Below are 21546 nucleotides of genomic sequence, written 5' to 3'. Positions count from 1 at the left end.
AGGATTAGGTGAGAAAAACCTTTGTAAAGCATCTTGCACAGCATCTGACCTATGGTGTATACCTAACAAAGGCTAAATCCCATTTTTCTCCTTTTTTATTAGGTACAGAATTCCAAAGAGATTAAACAAGATGTGGGAGGCACTGAGGCCAATTACAAGTCATGAGGAGACAGTGAATTCATGGGAGGAAGGAAATGAAAGGCGGAGGTAGATGATGACAGAAAGGAAGAATCACCACTGTCAGATGAGAGTTATCTCTCCTTCCACAGATGACAAAAAGAGTCCATGGAATACTCCTTGGGTACAGCCCTACCAATCCAAGGCTTCTAAAAAATCACCCTTTTGATCAAAAAGAACATTCATATCTTTCTCTTCCAAAACAATGCTTACAGACTCACACCATTAGAAACACTGATTTGTCTTTGCACACTGTCAGTTTTTATTTATGTGCATATCTTAAAATACTTTCCCCAAGTCTTAGTTGACAAAGAGAATCGCAGTTCTGTAGTTGAGTTTCAAGGCTTCTGTTATAGTTAGCAGGGTTGATGTGGAGCGTGAAGGAGCGCTAGAGCAGGGATCCCTGGGCATTCTGTTCTTGGTGAAATGCGGGTTCTCTTTCACTCTTCTCAAAGTCACTCTGTCTTCATTTTTTAAAAAAGAGTATTTCCCCCTGTATAATTCAGGTTGACTCTTAACTTCTTACCTTTTCTTTTCACTATATAGGCAAGCTTTACAAATCTTGCTTTCATTTTTGGAAGGGCTGCATTAACAAATATTTGATTTCTTAGTTCACAGTCAAGGACCTGTTGAGAAATCTGAGCTCGACTTGTAGGCTTAATTAGTTGGTTAGGGGTAAAAATTTCATTTGAATCATTGTTAGACCCTGATTTCCATTTTTATTACATTCATTTCTTTTGGGCCCCCATACTGATTTCCTCAATCACAGAAGTTATTTATTGTTGAGTGTGAGGAATAGACCTTATGCATGTGGCAATCAGAGAGTAATGCTAAGAAGGTAATCATTTAAATGGTAAATCAACATTAGTTTGCTGGGTTAAAAAAATTTCATAGTTTTTATTTTTCTAGGATGAGAGAAAAGTCATCATACTCCTCTTCCCACTTTCCCATAGATCTTTAAACTTTACCTTTATAGAAAGGGCCCTCATCATACACTCCATGCCAGACACTTAACAACGTTTTCCAAGTAAAAAAATTACACAACGAATGAAATGAAAAGGGCACATTTATGTTGCCCTGAAATCCCCCGAGATTCATTCCCAGTCTGATAGACAAGAGATTCTTTGCTTCCTGGGCAAGCAAAGACACGAGCAAGTTTCACATCTGTTCATTTTCCAAAGCCATTTGCAAGCAAAAATGAGTTCACATCGTACAGCACAGATTCTCAGTATGTAACTCGACTCACCTAGATCAGGCTGTATGCCTTAATGGGGGAGGCAGATAAATCTAGAGTGTCACAGTAACAGTGTGAGCCCCTCACCATGGGGAGATAGGAGGCAGGGAGAACCAGTTTACCTAGTAGGATCACGATGCACAGAAGGATGGCAACCAGAGCCCCCGTGCTCAGTCCCGTGGGGTGGATGAGCGCCTCCGCATGGCAGGATTGCATGTTCCCGTGGTGGTCACATGCACAGACCCGGACAGTCACTGTCCCAGTGCTGCTTTGAACTGGGTAGTCGTTGTCTGAAATGACCACAGGCAAGAGATAGGTGCTCATCTCGTGTCTATTATAGCCATTTTTCCGAGTTAAGATTCCCGCCGTGTTGTCTGGAACCGGAAAGCAAAGTGGTGAATGTATGTGGATACTGCGTCATGTATTAAATCAACTGTGATAAGAAAAGATAGATATAGATACAGATATGTACATATACATATACACATATACATACAGAAACAGTTACGGATATAGATGGAGATAGATAGAGAAGGTAACTTGAACTCATTTACCTTTGTTGTCTTGAATGGTAAAGTTTGAGCCACTGGCTGCTTCAGGGGCCAAGGAAAACGAAAATTGGTGTCCACTATAAGGGTCATCCTTGTCAACAGCATGCAGGGTCTGAATCAACTAAGAGAAAAACCAAAACGCTGCCATAAAATTTTGATAACTCAAAAGTGTTTCTTACCGTTTTGCAATAAATTGCTTGACAAAATGATTTAAAAATTTAATTATAAAAATGATAGCCTTTAAGTAATATACAGTGAATCTGCTCTATTATGGGTTAGAAAGCCAAAGGGCAGGGAATGATTCTTTGTTGTGGGGACACTGTAGGATGTCCTGTGCATTGTAGGATGTTTAGCAGCCACCCTGGCCTCTACCCACGAGATATCAGTAGCACCTTCTAGTGTGACAATCAAACTCTCTCAAGATACTGTAAATATCCCCAGGGAGGAAATCACCCTGATTGAGAAACATTTAGCCTTGAGTGATGCAAAGCTATAAAATATCCCAATAGTCGGTGACAACATTGCAACTTCACAAAGTAGAAGTGCTCTTTGGACAGTCTGTCTAGAAATGCACTCTTAGCATTACATAACCTATCAACTTGCAAAAAATGAAAAAGAAGTATATAGAACACAGTAACTTCAGCTTTCTACTTGCACATGTACTTTAACAGTGTACTTCTATTTTCACAAACTGAAACATAATTTTTATATCACTGGCAGCAAAGAACTATTTCATGTGGGGACAAATGTGTAAAACAATAAAACATTCATGAATTTGTATTACTTACACAGATGGTCAATGTAAATAAGTGAAATCATGAATTATAGGCAATTATAAAGTATGTTGTAGTTATTACTTCAAGTACATATGGTAATTAAACTATCTGTTCACCAATAAAGATTTTTCCAATAAAGGTGAGACTAATCTATTTAATAAAAACTTAAGATCGATTTGGAATCAGCCTCAGTCTTTGATGAACTTCCAGTTCTTCGAAACTGTTAGTTCTCATATGTAAGTCCTGGTTCTTATTTATAGTATTAATTTCCGTAGCATTCACTTCATAGATAATTCACAACTCTCCTTCAGCTCTGTGAATCATCTGAATGATAAGAAGATCTAAATTAATCTGATGTTCAACTTGAATATACTTTTTAATGAAACTCACCTGATCTGCCTTTGCTTTTTCACAGACAAAAGTTTCATAGAACTCAGCAAATTCTGGGGCGTTGTCATTGACATCTAGAACTTTAATATATAGAGGTACTCGACTACTTTGCTTTGGATTATCTGTCACAAACCAAAAAGAAAGAAAAAGGCATTTACATGTTGATTGCCGATTCCCTTTAGACAACATCCGCTCAACTCCTTCATTCTCATTCATGCACAGATTCCCCAAGCTGCTGTACTACTGGGCATTAAGTACCAGTGTGGTCACAAAAAGTACAATTAGATTGTTTGGTACATCTGGAGTTGGATGCACCTGTTAGAGATACATGGGTGACAAAGCCACTTGTGTTGATATAGTTCAACTGTATAATAAACCTTAAGATAACACAAAACCAAGAAAGGCATTTTAGAGGTAGATTTTCAAGGAAGCAGGCAGATGGGGAGCATATGGACAAAAGGAAGGAGAGGGAAAATGAATGAACCACCAGAAGACCAAAGGATAGTTATTAGTCTTAGTGGTTTAGTTTGAATGCTGAACGAGAGCAAGATGTCATGCTAAACACTTTGCTGTATTACGTTATTTAATTTTCACAAACTTCTGAGGTAGACAGAGGTACTGCCCCCATTTTATAGATGAGGAAACTGAGACATGGAGAAGTTAAGTAATTTATCTGTGTTTACAGAGACGGTAAAGAGTGAAGTCCAGGTTCAAACTTGGATCTGTCTGACTCCAAGCCCAGGCTGAAAGCCCAGGCTGTTCATTTGGAATTAATGATAAAGCGGAATCAATGTTTGCAGACCTGAGATAAATGAAGTATTTTGGTTGCCTTCTGTGATAATCTTCTAGCACAGTATGGAAGACAGATTTCTAGTGTAAGGATCAGGAGTTAGAATCTATCACCTCACCTCTCTTCATTTACTTCACTTGTATGTCTATTTGTTTTTTCACTTTGTAATTATTTAGTGAGCATCTAATACCTAATATATAGCAGCCTCTATTTGCGATGTTGGGGCACGTAGGAAACATAACAAAGATCCTGTTTCCTGGAGCTTTATTGTAATGGGGATGGACAAACCATAAACTCATAAATATATAATGTGTCAGATGGTAAGTGCTATAGAGAAATTAAGTAGGGAAAAAGGATTGAGAGAAATAGAGGTGTTACTTAGAATGATGACCAAGGACTGCTTCTCTGATGAGATATCATTTGCCCAGAGACATGAATGAAGAGAAGGTTTAAGCCATGTGAATATTTCTGGCTCTTCAGGTCGAGGAATCAGTATATGCAAAGGCCCCGAGGTGAGTGGGAGCTGGTTTTACACAAGCTTTTGGTTTCTGTTATATCAAAGGTTGTTAAGAAGATTAGACAGTAAGATTCTTTAAAATGTCTAAAATTTTACTCATATTATTCTTTGAAAGTTAGAGCAGCTGAATATTAACTTTCAAGAGATAGTCACCAATACTTTCAAATGTGTCATAGAAACATTAAATCTTAAAAACTTTTTTTAAGGCACAAAGATTAAAATACTTATGAAATGACTGCTTTGGTAAAAAATAAAATTTCATTGTCTTAGGAAAAATGGTCATTTTCAGTGGGAAATAAATTTATAATTTTAAAACTTTAAAGATGCTCTGTCTTTGGTATCTACATCAGTCCCATAACATAAATTAACATGAACTTCAAGATAAATCTTGAAAAATTCTGAAGAGCAAATTCCTACCTAACTAATTTCTAATGTGCTGTCCTTATCACTATCTAAAAGCAATGCTTCATTTTGCCCATATTGGTTACTATTCTACCAAATATCCTTTAGTCACTTCAAATCTCATGAGTTATATTGACAGAGAATACAAATGTAATAAACTATTCGATATGGACTATTTCACACTAGATACCCAAAGTGAGCTAAAAATGTTTAGAACTTTTAAAATTAAACACAAACACTAAAAAGTGAGCTGTAATTTAGAAGCCTAGTTTTAAACATTGAAATTCTATTTTAACCGGGGCCTGTTGTGGGGTGGGGGGAGGGGGGAGGGATAGCATTAGGAGATATACCTAATGTAAATGACGAGTTAATGGGTGCAGCACACCAACATGGCACAGGTATACATATGTAACAAACCTGCACATTGTGCACATGTACCCTAGAACTTAAGTATAATAAAAAAATTAAAAAAAGATCATTTTTCACTTATGTTCTTCAGCCTGCACATTGTATTGACCATCTACATTAGTTTTCATTGTGTGTAATCATTTTATTTGAAGCATTCTTTTGGCACTATTGTTCTTTGCCTTCAATTTCATGGGGGCTACCATAAAATTCATTCTAATCATTTTACTGATTACTTGATGGCTTGTATTACTCACTTTGGTATACCATAGAAAAGTGATAATTTATCTCTCTTAATTCTGTAAAGACTTTGAAATAAAAATTCTATAGTAAGCTAGAGAATTGATATCTAAAATTTTCTAAACAATGCCCACATTTTACAATATACTTGACCCCTCTCATCTTTTGCCCCCACACACAGTGTCTGACTGAGAGTCTGTTTTTTTCAGCTGTTTATGTAATGTTCTAATTTATAAGCTTTTTTGGAATTAAATCCACCGAGTACCAATTCAATCTCATTTGTGAGATACATTCCCATTTTATTGTTTCCAAACCACAGAACTTCCATGGTTGCCTCTCCATTTATGTGTGAGCCAATGTATATCTAGAAGAAACATTACTGCAAACCACTCCAGGGCTTTTTCCCTCAATATATATCAAGTGGGATTGTCAATACATGGTGACAAGCTACGCTCCACCAGCCCTTGCTGGGACACTCAGTCTATTAATAGGGGACAGCAGCGGTATTAGGTAGGACTTACTGATCTCTGTTGCTATCACTGTAATGTTGTGCCATAGCAGTGTTTCTCGGTCAAGAAGTTTCGATGTAAAAATCGAACCATTTCCAGAATCAATGTTGAATATTCTGTCCATATCTGTGTGTCGATCTACAGAGTACCTGAAAATGCAGAGTGGAATTAAGAAAGGCTTTTCTTTCTATTTCCTATTCTCACATCATAGAACATCATAAAACATCTGGTACACATCATATCCCAGAGTATCTGTGGCATAAATTTTTTTCCATCTCTAGTGCATATTTGAATATCTACAACCTGACATTAAGTAAAATATTTTGAGAAATTAGTTCTTCACAATGGAGGTCTTAATAGTAAACTCACTAGACAAGTTGCATGACTTTGAAGATCACCATTAAATTTTCTTTTCTAATATGTATAAATTTGGATCAAGTTTATATAGTAATTGTTTCATTTTTAACTCAAGTTTTTACAACCTGAGAACTTTAATGTGTGTGTGTGTGTGTGTGTGTGTGCTTGTATGCATATGTAGGGTTTTGGTTATTTTTCTACTTTCCATTTAATTTTAAAAATCATCTGTTGAAATAAGCAAAAGATGGCTAGTGTGGCCAAGGTTAGTGAGGCAGAAGAAGGAGATAGGAGATGACATTGGTGAGAGAGCCAGAGTCTAGACTGCAGAAGAAGGCTGTGATAAGGAGTTGGAATTTATTCTAGATGCAATGCGAATCTACCCAAGGGTTTTTTTGTTTGTTTGTTTGTTTTGAGATGGGGTCTCACTCTCTCACTCTGTCACCCAGGCTGGAGTGCAGTGGCATGATCTTGGTTTACTGCAACTTCGACCTCCCAGGCTTGAGCGATCCTCCCACCTTAGCCTCCAGAGTAGCTGGGACCACAGGTGCGTGTCACCATGCCCTGCTAATTTTTTGTAGAGACAGGATTTGGCCATTTTGCCCGGGCTGGTCTTGAACTCCTGAGCTCAAGTGATCCACCTACCTCGGCCTCCCGAAGTGCTGGGATAACAGTCATGAACCACCACGACTGGCTACAAAAGGTTTTAAGCAGGGGAATGCCACAATCTAAATCATTGTTAATAAAGATCACTGGTTGAATTGAGGAGAATGGTTGAACGGTGCTGCCACAAACAGAGAAAAAAGGAGTGAAAAACAGGATTCGGGGAAGATGGGTAAGTTCCATTTTTGCTATGCTGAAGCTGAGGTGCCTGAGAAAAGTTCAGGAAGAGATATCTAGTCTGAAGCTCTAGATTAAGATCTGGACTGATCCCAGATTTCCTATTCAGCTGTCTAAGAAAACAATGTCCAGTGGAGGAAGAAAAACACTAAAGACAGAATCACTTACATCACTTAAATCAGTGGGAGACCACAGTGGTGCCTGGAACAGACTAGGAACTTGATAAATATTTAAGAAGGAGAGTTTGAATAAATTTGAGGGAAACCAAGAGAAGCATTTGGAAACCAAACATTCCAACCCTAATACTGATGGAAGACTAGTGGATTTTGAGAAATGTTGTCTTATTTGTAAATGTATTACTAGTTTTTAGAATAGCTATGTGATATGGTTTGGCTCTGTGTCCCCACCCAAATCTAATCTCGAATTGTAATCCCCATGTGTCAAAGGAGGGGCGTGATGGGAGGTGATTGTATCATGGGGGCAGACTTCTCCCTTGCTGATCTTGTGATAGTGAGTGAATTCTCATGAGATCTGATGGTTTAAAAGTGTAGTGCTTCCCCTTTACATTTCGCCATGATTACAAGTTTTCTGCAGCCTCCTAGCCACGCTTCCTGTACAGCCTGTAGAACTGTGAGTCAATTAAGCCTCTTTTCTTCACAAATTACGCAGTCTCAGGTAGTTCTTTATAGCAGTGTGAGAATGAACTAATACAGAAAATTGGTACCAGGAAAGTGGGGGACTGCTATAAAGATAGCTGAAAATGTGGAAGCAACTTTGGAACTGGGTAACAGGCAGAGGTTGGAACAGATTGGAGGGTTCAGAAGAAGAAAGAAAGATGTGGGAAAGTCTGGAACTTCCTAGAGACTTGTTGAAAGGTTTTGACCAAAATGCTGACAATGATATGGACAGTGAAGTCCAGGCTGAGGAGGTCTCAGAGGGACATGAGGAACTTATTGGGAACTGGATTAAAGGTCACTCTTGCTTTGCTCTAGCAAAGAGACTGGTGGTGTTTTGCCTCTACGCTAGAATCTGTGGAACTTTGAACTCGAGAGAGATGATTTAGGATATTTGGCAGAAGAAGTTTCTAAGCAGCAAAGCATTCAAGAAGTGATCTGGCTGTTTCTTAAAGTGTATGCTCATATGTGTGAACAAAGAGATGATGTGAAACTGGAACTTATATTTAAAATGGTGACCATGTGGTAGAAAAGAAAGATCCATTTTCTGGGGAGGAATTCAAGCCTGCTGCAGAAATTTCCCTAACTAAAGAGGAGCCGAATGTTAATAGCCAGGACAAGGGGGAAAATGTCTCCAGGGCATTTCGGGGACCTTGATGGCAGCCCCTTCCCTCACAGGCCCAGAGGCATAGGAGGAAAAAAAATGGTTTTATGGGCAAGGCCTAGGGCCTAGCTGCTCTGTGCAGCCTTGGGACATGGCATCCTGTGTTCCAGCCACTCCAGCCCGAGCTGTGGCTATTGGTGGATCCACCATTCTGGGGTACAGCTCAGGCTGTGGCTTCAGAGGGTGCAAGACCCAAGGCTTGGTGGCATCTACATGGTGTTGGGCCTGAAGCTGTGCAGAAGGCAAGAAGTTGAGGTTTGGGAACCCCCACCTAGATTTCAGAGGATTTATGGAAATGCCTGAATGTTTAGGCAGAAATCTGCTGCAGTGGTGGAGACATCATGGAGTACCTCTACTGGAGCAGTGTGGAGGGAAAATGAGGGGTTGGAGCCCCCACACAGAGTCCACACTGGGGCACTGCTTAGTGGAGCTGTGAGAAGGGGGCCACTCTCTTCCAGACCCCAGAATGGTGGATCCACCAATAGCTTGCACCATGAGCCTGGGAAAGCTGCAGGCACTTAATGCCAGCCCATGAAAGCAGCCTCGGGGGCTGTATCTTTCAGAGCCACAGGAATGGAGCTGCCCAAGGCCATGGGAGCCCACTCCTTTATCAGTGTGCCCTAGGGGTGAGACATGGAGTCAAAGGAGATTATTTTGGAACCTTAGGATTTAACGACTGCGCTGCTGGATTTCAGTCTTGCATGGGGCCTGTGGCCAATATCTCCCTTTTTGAGTGGAAACATTTACCCAATACCTGTAACCCCATTGTATGGAAGTAACTAACTTGTTTTTTATTTTACAGGCTCATAGACTGAAAGGATCTGTCTTGTCTTGGATGAAACTTTGGACTTGGACTTTTGAGTTAATGCTGGGATGAGTTAAGACTTTGGGGGACTGTTGGGAATGCATGATTGGTTTTGAAATGTGAAAAGGACATGAGATTTGGGAGGGGCCAAGGGAAGAATGATATGGTTTGGCTCTGTGTCCCCACCCAAATCTGATCTCAAATTGTAATCCCCATGTGTCAGAGGAGGCACCTGGTGGGAGGTGACTGAATCATGGGGCAGACTTCCCCCTTGCTGTTATTGTGATAGTGAGTGAGTTCTCATGAGATCTGATGGTTCAAAAGTGTGTGGCACTTTCCCCTTCCTTTCCCTCTTCTCCTTCTGCTATGATTGTAAGTTTCCTGAGGCCTCTCGGCCATGCTTCCTGTACAGCCTGTGGAAATGGGAGTCAATTAAACCTTTTCATGAATGACTAAGTCTCAGGTAGTTCTTTATAGCAGTTTAAAAATGGACTAATACACTATGTTTATGAGCAGGGTGGGGGTGGGGTATTACAGAGAAAACTGAAGAAAGTTGATATGTTAAGGCCATTAGAAAAAAAAACTGCCCATTTCAGCTGGATTTTTAAAACTTTATGAGGTTAAAAACATTGCCTCAGTAGAAATTCAATATAAGTAAATGACCTGACTAGGCAGATATACGTGGAATTATTATGGGTGCTCTAAGAAAAATAAACCCTTGTAACTAACTTGCCATAGTTTACTGCACCCAAGATTCTACTTGAATGTATTATTTTGGTTTAAAACACAAGTAGTGAATTATAATGAACAATATATTTTATCTTCATAAAATTTATTTTTGTTATCTAGTGAGTGTCTAAATGAAATAGATATTCAATTATCACAGGCCATTTAAACCTGATTTTAAAGAGAATTAATGAAGTTCACAATGGGTATAATATCAAGTTGAATTGGAGTTTCAGTTTCAATGTACATAAACTTATGTTTTTATTATCAAAAGGGTTGAAACAAATGAAACAGCTATTGTTTTGCCATTTATGTCATGAATCAATATTTATTAAGAATTCAGGCAACAGCATTGTACTTACTTGATCATTTCTTATTTTAAATTTGAGAATGATAAATATTTATAGCACATCGTTAATTACAAAAAGGAAATCTCAATATTCATAGACTTCATAAGAAATTTAATAATTATCTAGATATATATTTTTTCTCATGGAAAATGCTAAGCTTAAGATGTGCTGCTTCTGTAAGCTGTTACAATAATATACAGCAATAATCTTGTTTTATTCTTTGTGTCTTTTCCCCCATTGTAGTTTTAAATTTTACAAGTAATTATATTTTCCTATCAAACCTTGACATAAAGGGTAAGAGGTGAGAATTTTTAGTTGAAGGCAGCTTTCAATTTGAAAGAGATAGTAACTATTTAGGAAATAGGAAAATTGTATTTTTTCCTTTTATTGGGACATTTAAAAATTAATAGAAAATCTAAAATGCCCACATCATTCAGGAAAGTTGCTTGTACACAAGCCTTGCTTGTTTGTTGTTTTTTCCTTCCAAGGTAATTTAAATTTATATCAAGGATATTTATTGTCCAGTCACATTAATTGTAATTATCACTGATAAGAAACAAGATAAAATCCCATCATGATCATAGCAGATCCTTCTGCTAGGTAGCTCTTTTTTTTTTTTTTCAGGACTTCATTGTATTCTGTGATTAAATAATTTGCCTTCTAATGTATCCTCAAGTCAGGAAGATTTGTGGTTCTTCCTGAAAAGGATGTATGTTTGCATAAATTTTTCATAATTTGTATGTATAGTGACATATTATAAGATTCTTTCACAGAAACCAAAGGGAATTTGAGATGAAGTTATTAGAAGAAAATAATTTTATGTGATTAAAGAATTAAAGATTTGTGCTTGTGTAATGATAAATCAGTGCTCTGGGGAAGAATTTTCTAGTGTTAATTTTTCACCTACCATATTGTCTAGCACTTAGTTGTTCAACATTTATGTCTTGAATAATCAAAAATTATGTATGAATGGATTTTTCTAATATAAGAATGAATTTTATCCTATAAAAGGGCACTGGAATACCATTTATATACCAATATATCTATAAGTATTTCTAGTCTTAAATCTATATCTACGTATCAAATCCATATGTACCAAGGAAAGGCTGGCAGCAAAAAACTTAAAAATTAGCTGACAGCCAACATAATCTGACAAGCTAACTACTTTCTTTCATAAAACAGAAAATAATGCAGTGGGTAAAAATGGTATTTGGTATGAAAAGTAATATAGATATGGAAATATATTGCCTGAATTCGCAAAACATTCTCTCTTTTAATTAAAAAAAAGTTGATCTATCAAGGAGATAACCAAAGCTCATATTTGTAAACTTCTAGCATTAACACTTTCAAATTGAATTTGATACTTACTTGCTAAGATTTTTTTCCTTATGCAGTTACAACAAACTCCAAGAGAGAGTAGTTGTGAAAATACTTACACATATATTAGTGAAAACTATACTAGTGAAAGCTATATTAGTGAAAACCACATTCATTTCCTTATTAACAATATTAAATGTATGTGGAGAAACACTTGGTCCATGGAGCTCACATGGCTGACCACAGCCCAATTCAAAGTGTCTTGTAGATATTCCAGTAGGATGCTAAAACAAGAGTTTATTTGCCCAGTGATTTAAAATTGTTCCCTGAAAGTAAGCCAGGAATTTTTGTGTTTGAGATGTGGGGCTTGTCATAAGGTTTCATTTGAACAAAGGCTCAACTGGGAAAAAGTAAGAAAATGACTGCTGCCTTAGAGCCCCACATTCTTTTATCTGCAATAATATTCTTCACGTAGCAGCTAGTGTTATCCTTTTAAAACGGAGTTTTAGATTAGTTAACTCTTATACTCAAAGGTTTCCAGTGGCTTCTCATCTCAATCAGAATAAAATCCAGTCTTTACCATCAACTACAAAGCCCTACAGGACCTGCTACACTCCTCATCAGCTATCAAACCTCTCTGGGGCCTCATATCTGACCTCGCCTCCCTCTCTCACTCTCTTCCAGCTGCGGAGGCCTCCTCGCTGTTCTTTCAACTGTCAAGCAAGCTCTGGTATCAGACTTACCCTTGCTTTTCTCTCTTCTTGGAATGTTCTTCCCCCAGCATCAACATGGTTCGCCCTTTAATTTCATTCAAATCTTTACTAAATGGTCCCCTACCAAGAATGTCAAATCTGACCCCATTATCTAAAATAGTACTCCAGGTGCTCTTTATTTCCTTATTCTGCCTTATTTTCCACTTAAAATTTACTTTTGCCTGACGTATTACATATTTACTGTTTGTCTATTTCTGCTTGCCCCAATTAGAATGTAAGCTTCATGGGATGAGGGCTGTATTCCCTAGTGCCTAGAATGTACCTGGCACTTGGCTGGCACCTTGACCAGAATCTATTTGTGAACTCATTGGCAAGAGTTTCTCTAGTTTTTCAGTCTGCTTACTTTGTTTATGGGGAGTAATTGACACAATGCTATTCTGGTCTAGCACTTTTCTTGAACTCCTGACCTCAAGTGATCTGCCCACCTTGGCCTCCCAAAGTGCTGGGATTACAGGCGTGAGCCACCGTGCCCAGCTAGCACTTTTCTCATTTAGTCAACTAAGCTACTGGCTGAAGGCTGGAGGTTGGTTGACTCCAGCATTTTCCTGTTAAGATCCGAGAATACTGAAGCATCAGTGGTCCCAAAGAGCAATAAGGCCTTACTGCAACATGATTTACAACTAAGGTGTAAGGAAAGCACAGGGAAAACAGAATTAGTTTACGTAGCATACATTTGGACTCTGTTGTATTAATTTCCCTAGGATTTCACAGACGTATATCATGAAATGATTCTTGTTTTTATCTACATCTACAAAAGGAAAAACCATCCGAATGGAGGATAATTCTGTCTTTTAAGTGTTACATGATAGGTTTTTCTACACTTGAAAAACAGGCTGTCAAGCTCAGTGCTTGATTTGTTAAAAATCATACTTTTTCTATGCCACTCTTTGACAAATCTTACACTTAAAAAAATCTCAAATCTTGAAAAATAATCCCAGGTTATTCAGCTGCATCACCTTATACTACTTCTACTTAAGCAGTAAACTCCTTATAGCTTGTTTTCCTTCCCAAATTTGTGTTTTTTTAAGGTTTATTCAGTCAGCCCTGTGTATCCACAGGTTCTGCAAATGTGGATTCAACCAACTGGAAATAAAAAATGTTTGGAAAAAACAAAAAGCAAACAATAAAAAAACTACAAATAAAAACATCAAGATAATAACTATTTACATAGAATTTACATTGAATTGGTACTATAAGTAATCTAGAAATGACTTAAAGTATGGGGGAGGATGAGCTTTGGTTATTTGCAAATCTGTGTCATTTCCTATAAGGAACTTCCGGATTTGTGAATTTTAATATGGGGGTGGGCCTGGAACCAATCCCCCAGGGATAAAAAGGGACTACTGTACTTCTGCCAAAATAATATTTATGCAGTGAGCAAAGAGAGTTAAAGGTGCTGTTTAGAATAGTTTTTTCAGGAAAACACAGTTGTCTAATTGGAACAAAAGGGATTCATCTTTTCTCAAGTGCAGGCAGATATTTGAATATAAATTGACTGAAGCTTATGAAAGAGACATGTCGCAGAAGTGTGCTTACTTGACAGGATTCCTGGCAGCATCTGGATCTTGGGCTGTGACGGAGCCTATTGTGGTGTTTATCTGAGCATCTTCTCTTATTTGTAAGATGTAGGCCAGTTTGCTGAAGACAGGTGGCTCATCTACATCCTCCACCACAATTCTAACCGTGGCTGAATCTTTGAAAGGCCCCAAGTAGAGAAATCGTGGCTCAACATAAGGATTGGAGGCTTCCACTTTAAGGGTATACACTTTCTTCTTTTCAAAGTCCAAGAGCTTGAGGTTGGGGGTGGGGGAAGAAGTGACATATTTAAAGCAGCCAAGACACAGAAAGCCAAGACACGAAACATTTTTGGTGTAAACCACTGATAAATGAATGCGATCATATTGCTTAGAGAAACACATTTGTGTGATATTGGGCAAAGGGAGAAAAGATAAGATGTAATTTTTTTTCTTATATCTAGGCTGTTAGGCAGGAAACGATTATAAAGTTTGTGAAGGAGTTCAGAAGCCACACAGCCCTGAAAAATGTATGGGCTGAGACCATGCCTGCTGTTGACTTAAAAGTGGGTAGTGAGGTACAAGGCATCATACCAGGCAGGAAGGGCACTTGGAAGCAGGAGTCTGGTAGAGCCCACACTGTCCCCACTTAAAAAATACTCATGTTTCACTAGAGGGGGCCATCAGGGGCAAGTTGGCAAATACACAGTGGGTTATTCCATGTCAGATGTTCTCACATCTGGCTTTTTTTTTTTTTTTTTTTTTTGAGACGGAGTCTCGCTCTGTCGCCAGGCTGGAGTGCATTGGCATGATCTCGGCTCACTGCAACCACTGCCTCCCGGATTCAAGTGATTCTCCTGCCTCAGCCTCCCGAGTAGCTGGGACTACAGGCACTCACCACCAGGCCCAGCTAATTTTTGTATTTTTAGTAGAAACAGGGCTTCATCATGTTGGCCAGGATGGTCTCGATCTCTTGAACTCGTGATCCACCTGCCTCGGCCTCCCAAAGTGCTGGGATTACAAGCGTGAGCCACGGTGCCTGGCCATATCTGGCTTTAATTGCACTGATGAGTGTTTAAAACTGGCCAATGTCTTGGCCCCAGCGTGGACCATTAAACCAACATATCTGGGCGTGCAGATTAATATCTACATTATTAAACACTTCCCCCGGTGATTCTGTGGTGCAGCCAGAATTGAGAGCCACAGGTTTGCATTGTGAATCCCTCATCATCATTCAGACAACACAGATTAAAGTTTTTTTTTTTTGTTGTTGTTGTTTTTTGCATGAGGTAATGAAATATTCCAAATGGTATCCTGAAAAGGGCATTGGGCTAATTATTTGTCAAAGAAAGTAGTGATCATTGTTGTCAAGGGTCTTTAGGAAAAGTAGGTCTGCTTTTGGAGACATGGTGAACCCAAATGCTTATTGCTGACTTTTAGTTTTAGATGATAATATGACAAGGCTCACTAGAAACACAATTAATCTAGACGTTGGTGAATGTGATTTAGTCGTCTAGGCAAAATTTCAGTTCGAATCTGATAAGGCACCAAGAAAATTAAAAAGGTTAATGCACACTAATGGGCTTCCTAATTATATTATAGTTTAAAACATTAGTCTGAGTGTCACTTAAACATGTTTTATTGTGTTTCCAGATATTAAGACACGTAATCCAAAGCTTGGGAGGAAAAAAAAATCTCTTGTTATTTACATCCACCGATGCTTTTATTTACCAGAAAAGATTATAGTATGCTAAAGGAGAGAGAAAATATTACACCATACATGATAAAAGTGAAATCATAAGAAGTTAGCCAAAATTAATATTTTTAGTCTTGAAGCATACAATTCATTGGTTTTTAATTTTTGCCGTATTTTTGTATGCTGCTCTGTGGTGCTACACAATTTGGGGGATAAAATAATGAACCAGTACTTTGGAAAAAAATAGAAATCAGAACACAAAAGATTTATTGTTGTGTTCCAAAAAGTAGCTAAAGAGGTACCAGGAAATTTATGGTATTTAATTTAAATTTGTTATGGTATTTAATTTAAACTTGTGGTCTTTATACATCCTCTTTTTGTGATGCAAGTCATCTTGATCACTGCTTGCTGTACTCTCTTCCTTCACAGTATGCATCACAATTTGTAGTTGTATATTTGTTTGTTTGTTTGTTTACTTGGCTCCTTGTCTCTTTCCCCCTAGACTGGAAGTATCATGAGGGCAGAGAACATCTGTTGTATGTACCAGTGCACCTCCAGCACCTAGAGCAATGTCTGGCACTGTTTATTTACTGTTCATTTAAAGTATTTACTTTATATATTTTTACGAATATCATTTGTTTATATTACTTATTTACTTAGGAGGTTCTTAATAAAAATTCATTGGATGTATAGAATTAACATGAATGCATATCATTTTAGGTTCCTGAAAGCCAACCCAAGAGATCTCAGTGTCATTAGAATTGGTTTTCTTTCTTTCTTTCTTTCTTTTCTTTCCTTCTTTCTTTCTTTCTTTCTTTCTTTCTTTCTTTCTTTCTTTCTTTCTTTCTTTTTTTCTTTCTTTCTTTCCTTCCTTCCTTCCCTCCTTTCTTCCTTTCTTTCTCTTTCTTTCTTTCTTTCTTTCTTTCTTTCTTTCTTTCTTTCTTTCTTTCTTTCTCTCTCTCTCTCTCTCTCTCTTTCTTCTTTCTTTCTTTCTTTCTTTCTCCTTCCTTCCTTCCTTCCTTCTTTCTTCTTTTTTTTTTTTTTTCAGAGTCTCACTCTGTCACCTAGGCTGGAGTGCAGTGGTGTGATCTTGGCTCACTGCAACCTCTGCTGCCCAGGCTCAAGCGATCCTCTTGCCTCAGTCTCCAGAGTAGCTGGGATTACAGGCACCCACCACCACGCCTGGCTAATTTTTGTATTTTTAACAGAGATAGGTTTTGCCATGTTGGTCTCAAACTCCAGGACTCAAGAGATCCTCCTGCCTTGGCCCCCAAAAGTGCTGGGATTACAGGCGGGAGCCACCATGCCCGGCCAGAACTGGCATTTTTCTGAAAATAATAAGTAAAATAAAAATCTAAAGGAATGTTTATGTGAGATATAATTGCCCCTGGTAACTTAGGAACTGGAGAAAAGTAAATGGGTTCACTCTGTATGGTGTTTAAGAAGCGGCATTACCTTTTTGACAGTTATAATCCCTTCCTGGGTTTCCTGGTCGGTGATGACATCAAACATATCCAGCCCCTCACCGTCTGTGATGCTGTACTCAATTTCAGCATTTTCTCCCACATCAGCGTCGCTGGCTTTGATTCTGCCAATTGGTGTCCCCGGTGGAGAAGATTCAGGAGTTTTAAACTGGTATGTACCTATTAATCACCAGACAGATATAAGTCAAACATAGACTAACCACACTCTTATCATCATAAAAACAAAACCTATTCTCTAACAGTTCTTTAAGACATTACCATCAGGTAGATGTGTGCTTTCCTCAAAATAACTAATGGTGGCCTGTTCTTCTTATGTCTACTTTCGTGGTTGTTAAGAATGTTTCTTCTATTTCATGACCTGTTTCCTTGCAAATGGAGAACACTTTTCTTGTCTGTAAACAGGCTCCAAAGTTTATGGTGTGATTGTGAGAACAACTGAATGGCTACAGGAGGCATAGAAGGTTTCAAAGCCCTTTGTTAACTTCATCTAACAGAAAGAGTAGAGAAGAATTTAATCTGAACTGCGACTTTTAGTTAATTACTAGGTATTCTTTAAAAGAGTTCTTTCTACCGTTGCTAATAATAGCTGGAGGTGGAAAGAAATTATAGCAACTTGGAGGCTGTATCCAGGTAGATATTCTTTTATTCATACATGGAGCTGGACCTAGTTGTAGAGTTAGAGATATAGGTAAATACATTAAGTGATAAAACTCCTAATTTTTTTCTTTTGACTCTTAAATTTTATTATTTTATGCATAGATTTCTCCCATACTTATATTTGTAATTCTAATTTGAAACCTATGTTTCCTATATAGACACTTTTTAAAAAAAATATGCTCCTGTTGCAAACTTAGTTTAGAGAGACTACATATGAGTTTCAGTTTAGATTGGCCAGGCCATGATATACTTAGCACCAAAAATATAAAATAGTAAAACCAAGGCTTATTCTACCCTTTTCAATTACATTTTGTTAACCATTCATACAAATGATTTGAAAAGAATTTAAACAGTCTATGGCACTACTAAAATGTAGGCGTTCAGTAATAGTAATCCCTTGAGTTCATACTTGGTAAAATGATAAAGCAGGTTAAAAAAATTTTTAAACTTTTTTTGACTCAAGTACGTAACTCAAAAAGAGCATTTTTTTTGGACAGGATTTCCTCCTGTTGCTCAGGCTGGAGTGCAGTGGCGTGATCATGGCTCACTGCAGCCTCAAACTTCTGGGCTCAAGCAATCCTCCCACCTCAGCCTTCTGAGTAGCTGGGACTACAGGTGCACACCATCGTGCCTGACTAATTTCTTTTTACTTGTTGTAGACACAGGGTCTCACTATGTTGCCTCGGCTGCTCTTGAACTCTTGGCCTCACACAGTCTTCCTCCCTCAGCCTCCCAAAGCTCTGGGATTACAGGCATGAGTTGGTGTGCCCCAGGTTAAGTATTCTCTAGTGTTTTCAACTTCCATTTTTAGGGCCTCCTGCCCCTTTCTAACTTCTCCCTCCCTTGCCTTGGCATATTGCTCATTAACAAGTCACAGGCTATCTAAGCAGAGCAGAGTGAGTTACAAATTCCTGTGGTACCAGGGTGCGGGGGAATCCTTATGTTATTCTTCCCCAGGGAATCTCCATATTAAAAAGTAGGTTTTGGGCAAACTGTTGGTGATCCTAATAGTTTTCATTTCAGGCCTCTGTAAGGGAAATGGTAGGCCTCATAGAACCTTTCTTCTACTTGTTATATGAGATATTCTTTAATTAGCTCTGATCTTTTTGCATTTAGCTAACTCTGATTAAAAACTTGAAAAAATAAAGAAAATAAAACTACTTCCTATTGATCCATGTATAGCTCTACCCTAAAGGAAGCCCGTATCAGCTGATTAGTTTTTTTAAAATGTCATGATAGAATGAGTGGGTTTTCTATTGAATAATTGAGATAGCTTTCGTAGGAGATCATGGTCCCAAAGGGATTTTGTTCCTGGATGAAAAGTTACGTTAAAACTAGTTCCCTCTTGGGTAGCTCTATGTGAGAATTTTTAGCATACTCCTGATACCAAGTTGGTATTCATGGAGGTTGTTTTTCCTTCTTCTTCCTTTTATCTAATCACTAGAGTTAATGATTTTGGAGACAACTTTCGGTATCTCAACTAACCATAATGTAGAAAACGACTTATGATTACAAATGGATTAAGTACCTAGTTACTTCCACAGTTGTATTTTTAGAAACAGTAAAATAATAAATCCTCCCCTTATAAAGCTTTGTGAGGATTTAAAAGAGATTACATGCCTGATTAAATTCACAAAACATAAAGTCAAATTTTTTCCAACAAATTGCAGCATGCTTGTATACATATGTTCTGCATGAGCAGATTTATGTCTGTGGTAGTTTTCTTAATAAGGAGAAATGAAACAATGATGTTGCCTTTACAACAACAGCAGAAATCACTCAGGTAATTACCAATAGAGGAACATAAATGTTCACATTTCCTGAGTGTATGCCATGTTGTCAACTCATTTTTAATAAAAGTACCAGTTCTTCTTAAGTCCACTAACTTTGACAATAATGATGACAATGGAAAATAAAAATTCTTAAAGTTCGAGTTTTATAAAAGCACATTGAAGAAATTCATTCAATCAAATGTTCCTACTCTGGGGGAATCGGGGAGGGTTGTCGTTGACATCAGTCAGTGTGATGTTCACGGTGGTGGTCCCAGATAATCCTCCCATCTGGCCGCCCATATCCTTGGCTTGAATCACCACTTGGTACTGCTCCCTGTTTTCTCGATCCATGTTGAGCAAAGCTGTCTTGATAATACCTGTGGATGTGAAATTTAAGAGTGCAAAGGGATGCATTAAGAATACTTTATGGAATCATTGATTTATGCAAACAACATAAACTGTCACCCACAATATGCAAAATGCTATGCAGATGTCATGGTGACATAAAAATAATTATATGCAGCCTTTATACTGAAGGATATTACAACCACACAGGGGAGATAGATACATTAAAAAAAGCCTGTAATACAAGGAGAATAAAAATAAGTACAAGTCAGATTCTGCAATAGTATAGACTATTAAGGGTTATAAGACACTCAATATTATAATTACATTATGGATGTATAAACATTAAGTGTTATAAGATGACACAGCAGAATCTAAAATGGCTTGTGGTATAAAGGTATACTATAATATGCTTGATAAAAGACATTTAGGTGAATTATGAGGAAATTGTTAGGAAAGCCACATACTTGAACTGACTGTTGAGTTTCCCATTATGGATTAGCTAATTATCCCTCAGATACACCTACCATAACGAATGCTCTGAGGATTTTCTAAATTGTAAAACTATGGTCTTTAGAAAATAGAACATCAATTCTCTCATAATGATCATCTTGTATGATTCTAGAGAATTTTGGAATTAAGGTTCAAGGTCTTTCAGCCTTTTAGAATTCCTAAAGCTGACCGTGAACTTTAGTTCAACTGGCCCCAATGACAACCAAAATTTTTAAGTTAGGTTAAATTTATCTCTGTTGTTAGGTTGTTATAAAATAGTTAAAGAACTTCTAAAAGTTTGCCCAATTTCTATGTAAGGTTTATGCTTAAATTAACTTTCTTTCAAATTTCACTGGAGAAGCCTTTATAACCTTCTGCAGAAACACATTCTAGTGCTTAACAACTAATGAAGCGAAAATATCTTTTTTAAAATTTTTAACAAGAATACTTCAGACAACAGGTCAATTTTATTCCTATAGTCCTGCCTTCAGTGAAAGTGCGGCTGCTTTCTGTTCTCCAAATAATAGTACTTCTCTATTTAAATACAGGAGATCACCTCAGCCTTTTGTCCTTTAAGTTGAATAATTCTAATTTTTCATCCTCATTGTTTTTCAACTCAACATTTTCTTTCTCCTTGGGATTCTTTCCAAGTTCATTGCAGCACTTAACACAGAGATTTCCAACTGGATGTGGGAACCTAGGGAAGTTTTGATTTCTACTAAGAATAATGGATGTTTAAAAAATGTATAAAAGGAAATTGACTCATTATGATAAAAATATGTGTGCAATTTACTGTACAATACAAATGATATTTGCTAAAAACAAATCATTATAAGATAGGTTGCTACTTTGTGGAGAAAATACAGAAAACAGAAAAATGAGATGTTGAAAAGAGGATTCCAGATGGCATTTCACTTTGATTAGGACTCCATCAGTTAGGATGGGCTAGACAATGATTTGATAACAAACAATGCAAAATCTTAGTGGCTTCACACAACTAAAGTTTATTTTTCACTCATGCTCTGAGCAGGTAAGCAGGTAGCTTTGTTCACCATACCACTCAGACATTCAGGCTACAGACTACATCTCAAC

General features: G+C 37.6%; 1 protein-coding gene across 4 annotated transcripts in view; it reads right to left on the bottom strand.

Annotated features, from left to right (window-relative positions):
• Positions 1 to 21546, bottom strand: part of CDH6 (cadherin 6) — a 135461-nt gene that overhangs the window by 9689 nt on the left and 104226 nt on the right. For 3 of the 4 annotated variants that reach the window (XM_011513921.4, NM_004932.4, XM_047416591.1), the window contains exons 5-11: positions 19827 to 19994; positions 17160 to 17347; positions 14031 to 14284; positions 6004 to 6140; positions 3129 to 3250; positions 1966 to 2083; positions 1534 to 1785 (exon numbers count right to left, since the gene is read on the bottom strand). In XM_011513921.4, the coding sequence (XP_011512223.1) occupies positions 1534 to 1785; positions 1966 to 2083; positions 3129 to 3250; positions 6004 to 6140; positions 14031 to 14284; positions 17160 to 17347; positions 19827 to 19994 (1239 nt within the window). Of the gene's footprint in view, positions 1 to 77; positions 1786 to 1965; positions 2084 to 3128; positions 3251 to 6003; positions 6141 to 14030; positions 14285 to 17159; positions 17348 to 19826; positions 19995 to 21546 lie in introns of those variants that run through there. The other variant, NM_001362435.2, reaches the window with a different exon arrangement.

The sequence above is a fragment of the Homo sapiens genome, chromosome 5 (genome assembly GCF_000001405.40).
Source record: "Homo sapiens chromosome 5, GRCh38.p14 Primary Assembly".
In the NCBI taxonomy this organism is placed as follows: Eukaryota; Metazoa; Chordata; class Mammalia; order Primates; family Hominidae; genus Homo; species Homo sapiens.
This window is presented reverse-complemented; position numbering and strand designations above follow the sequence as displayed.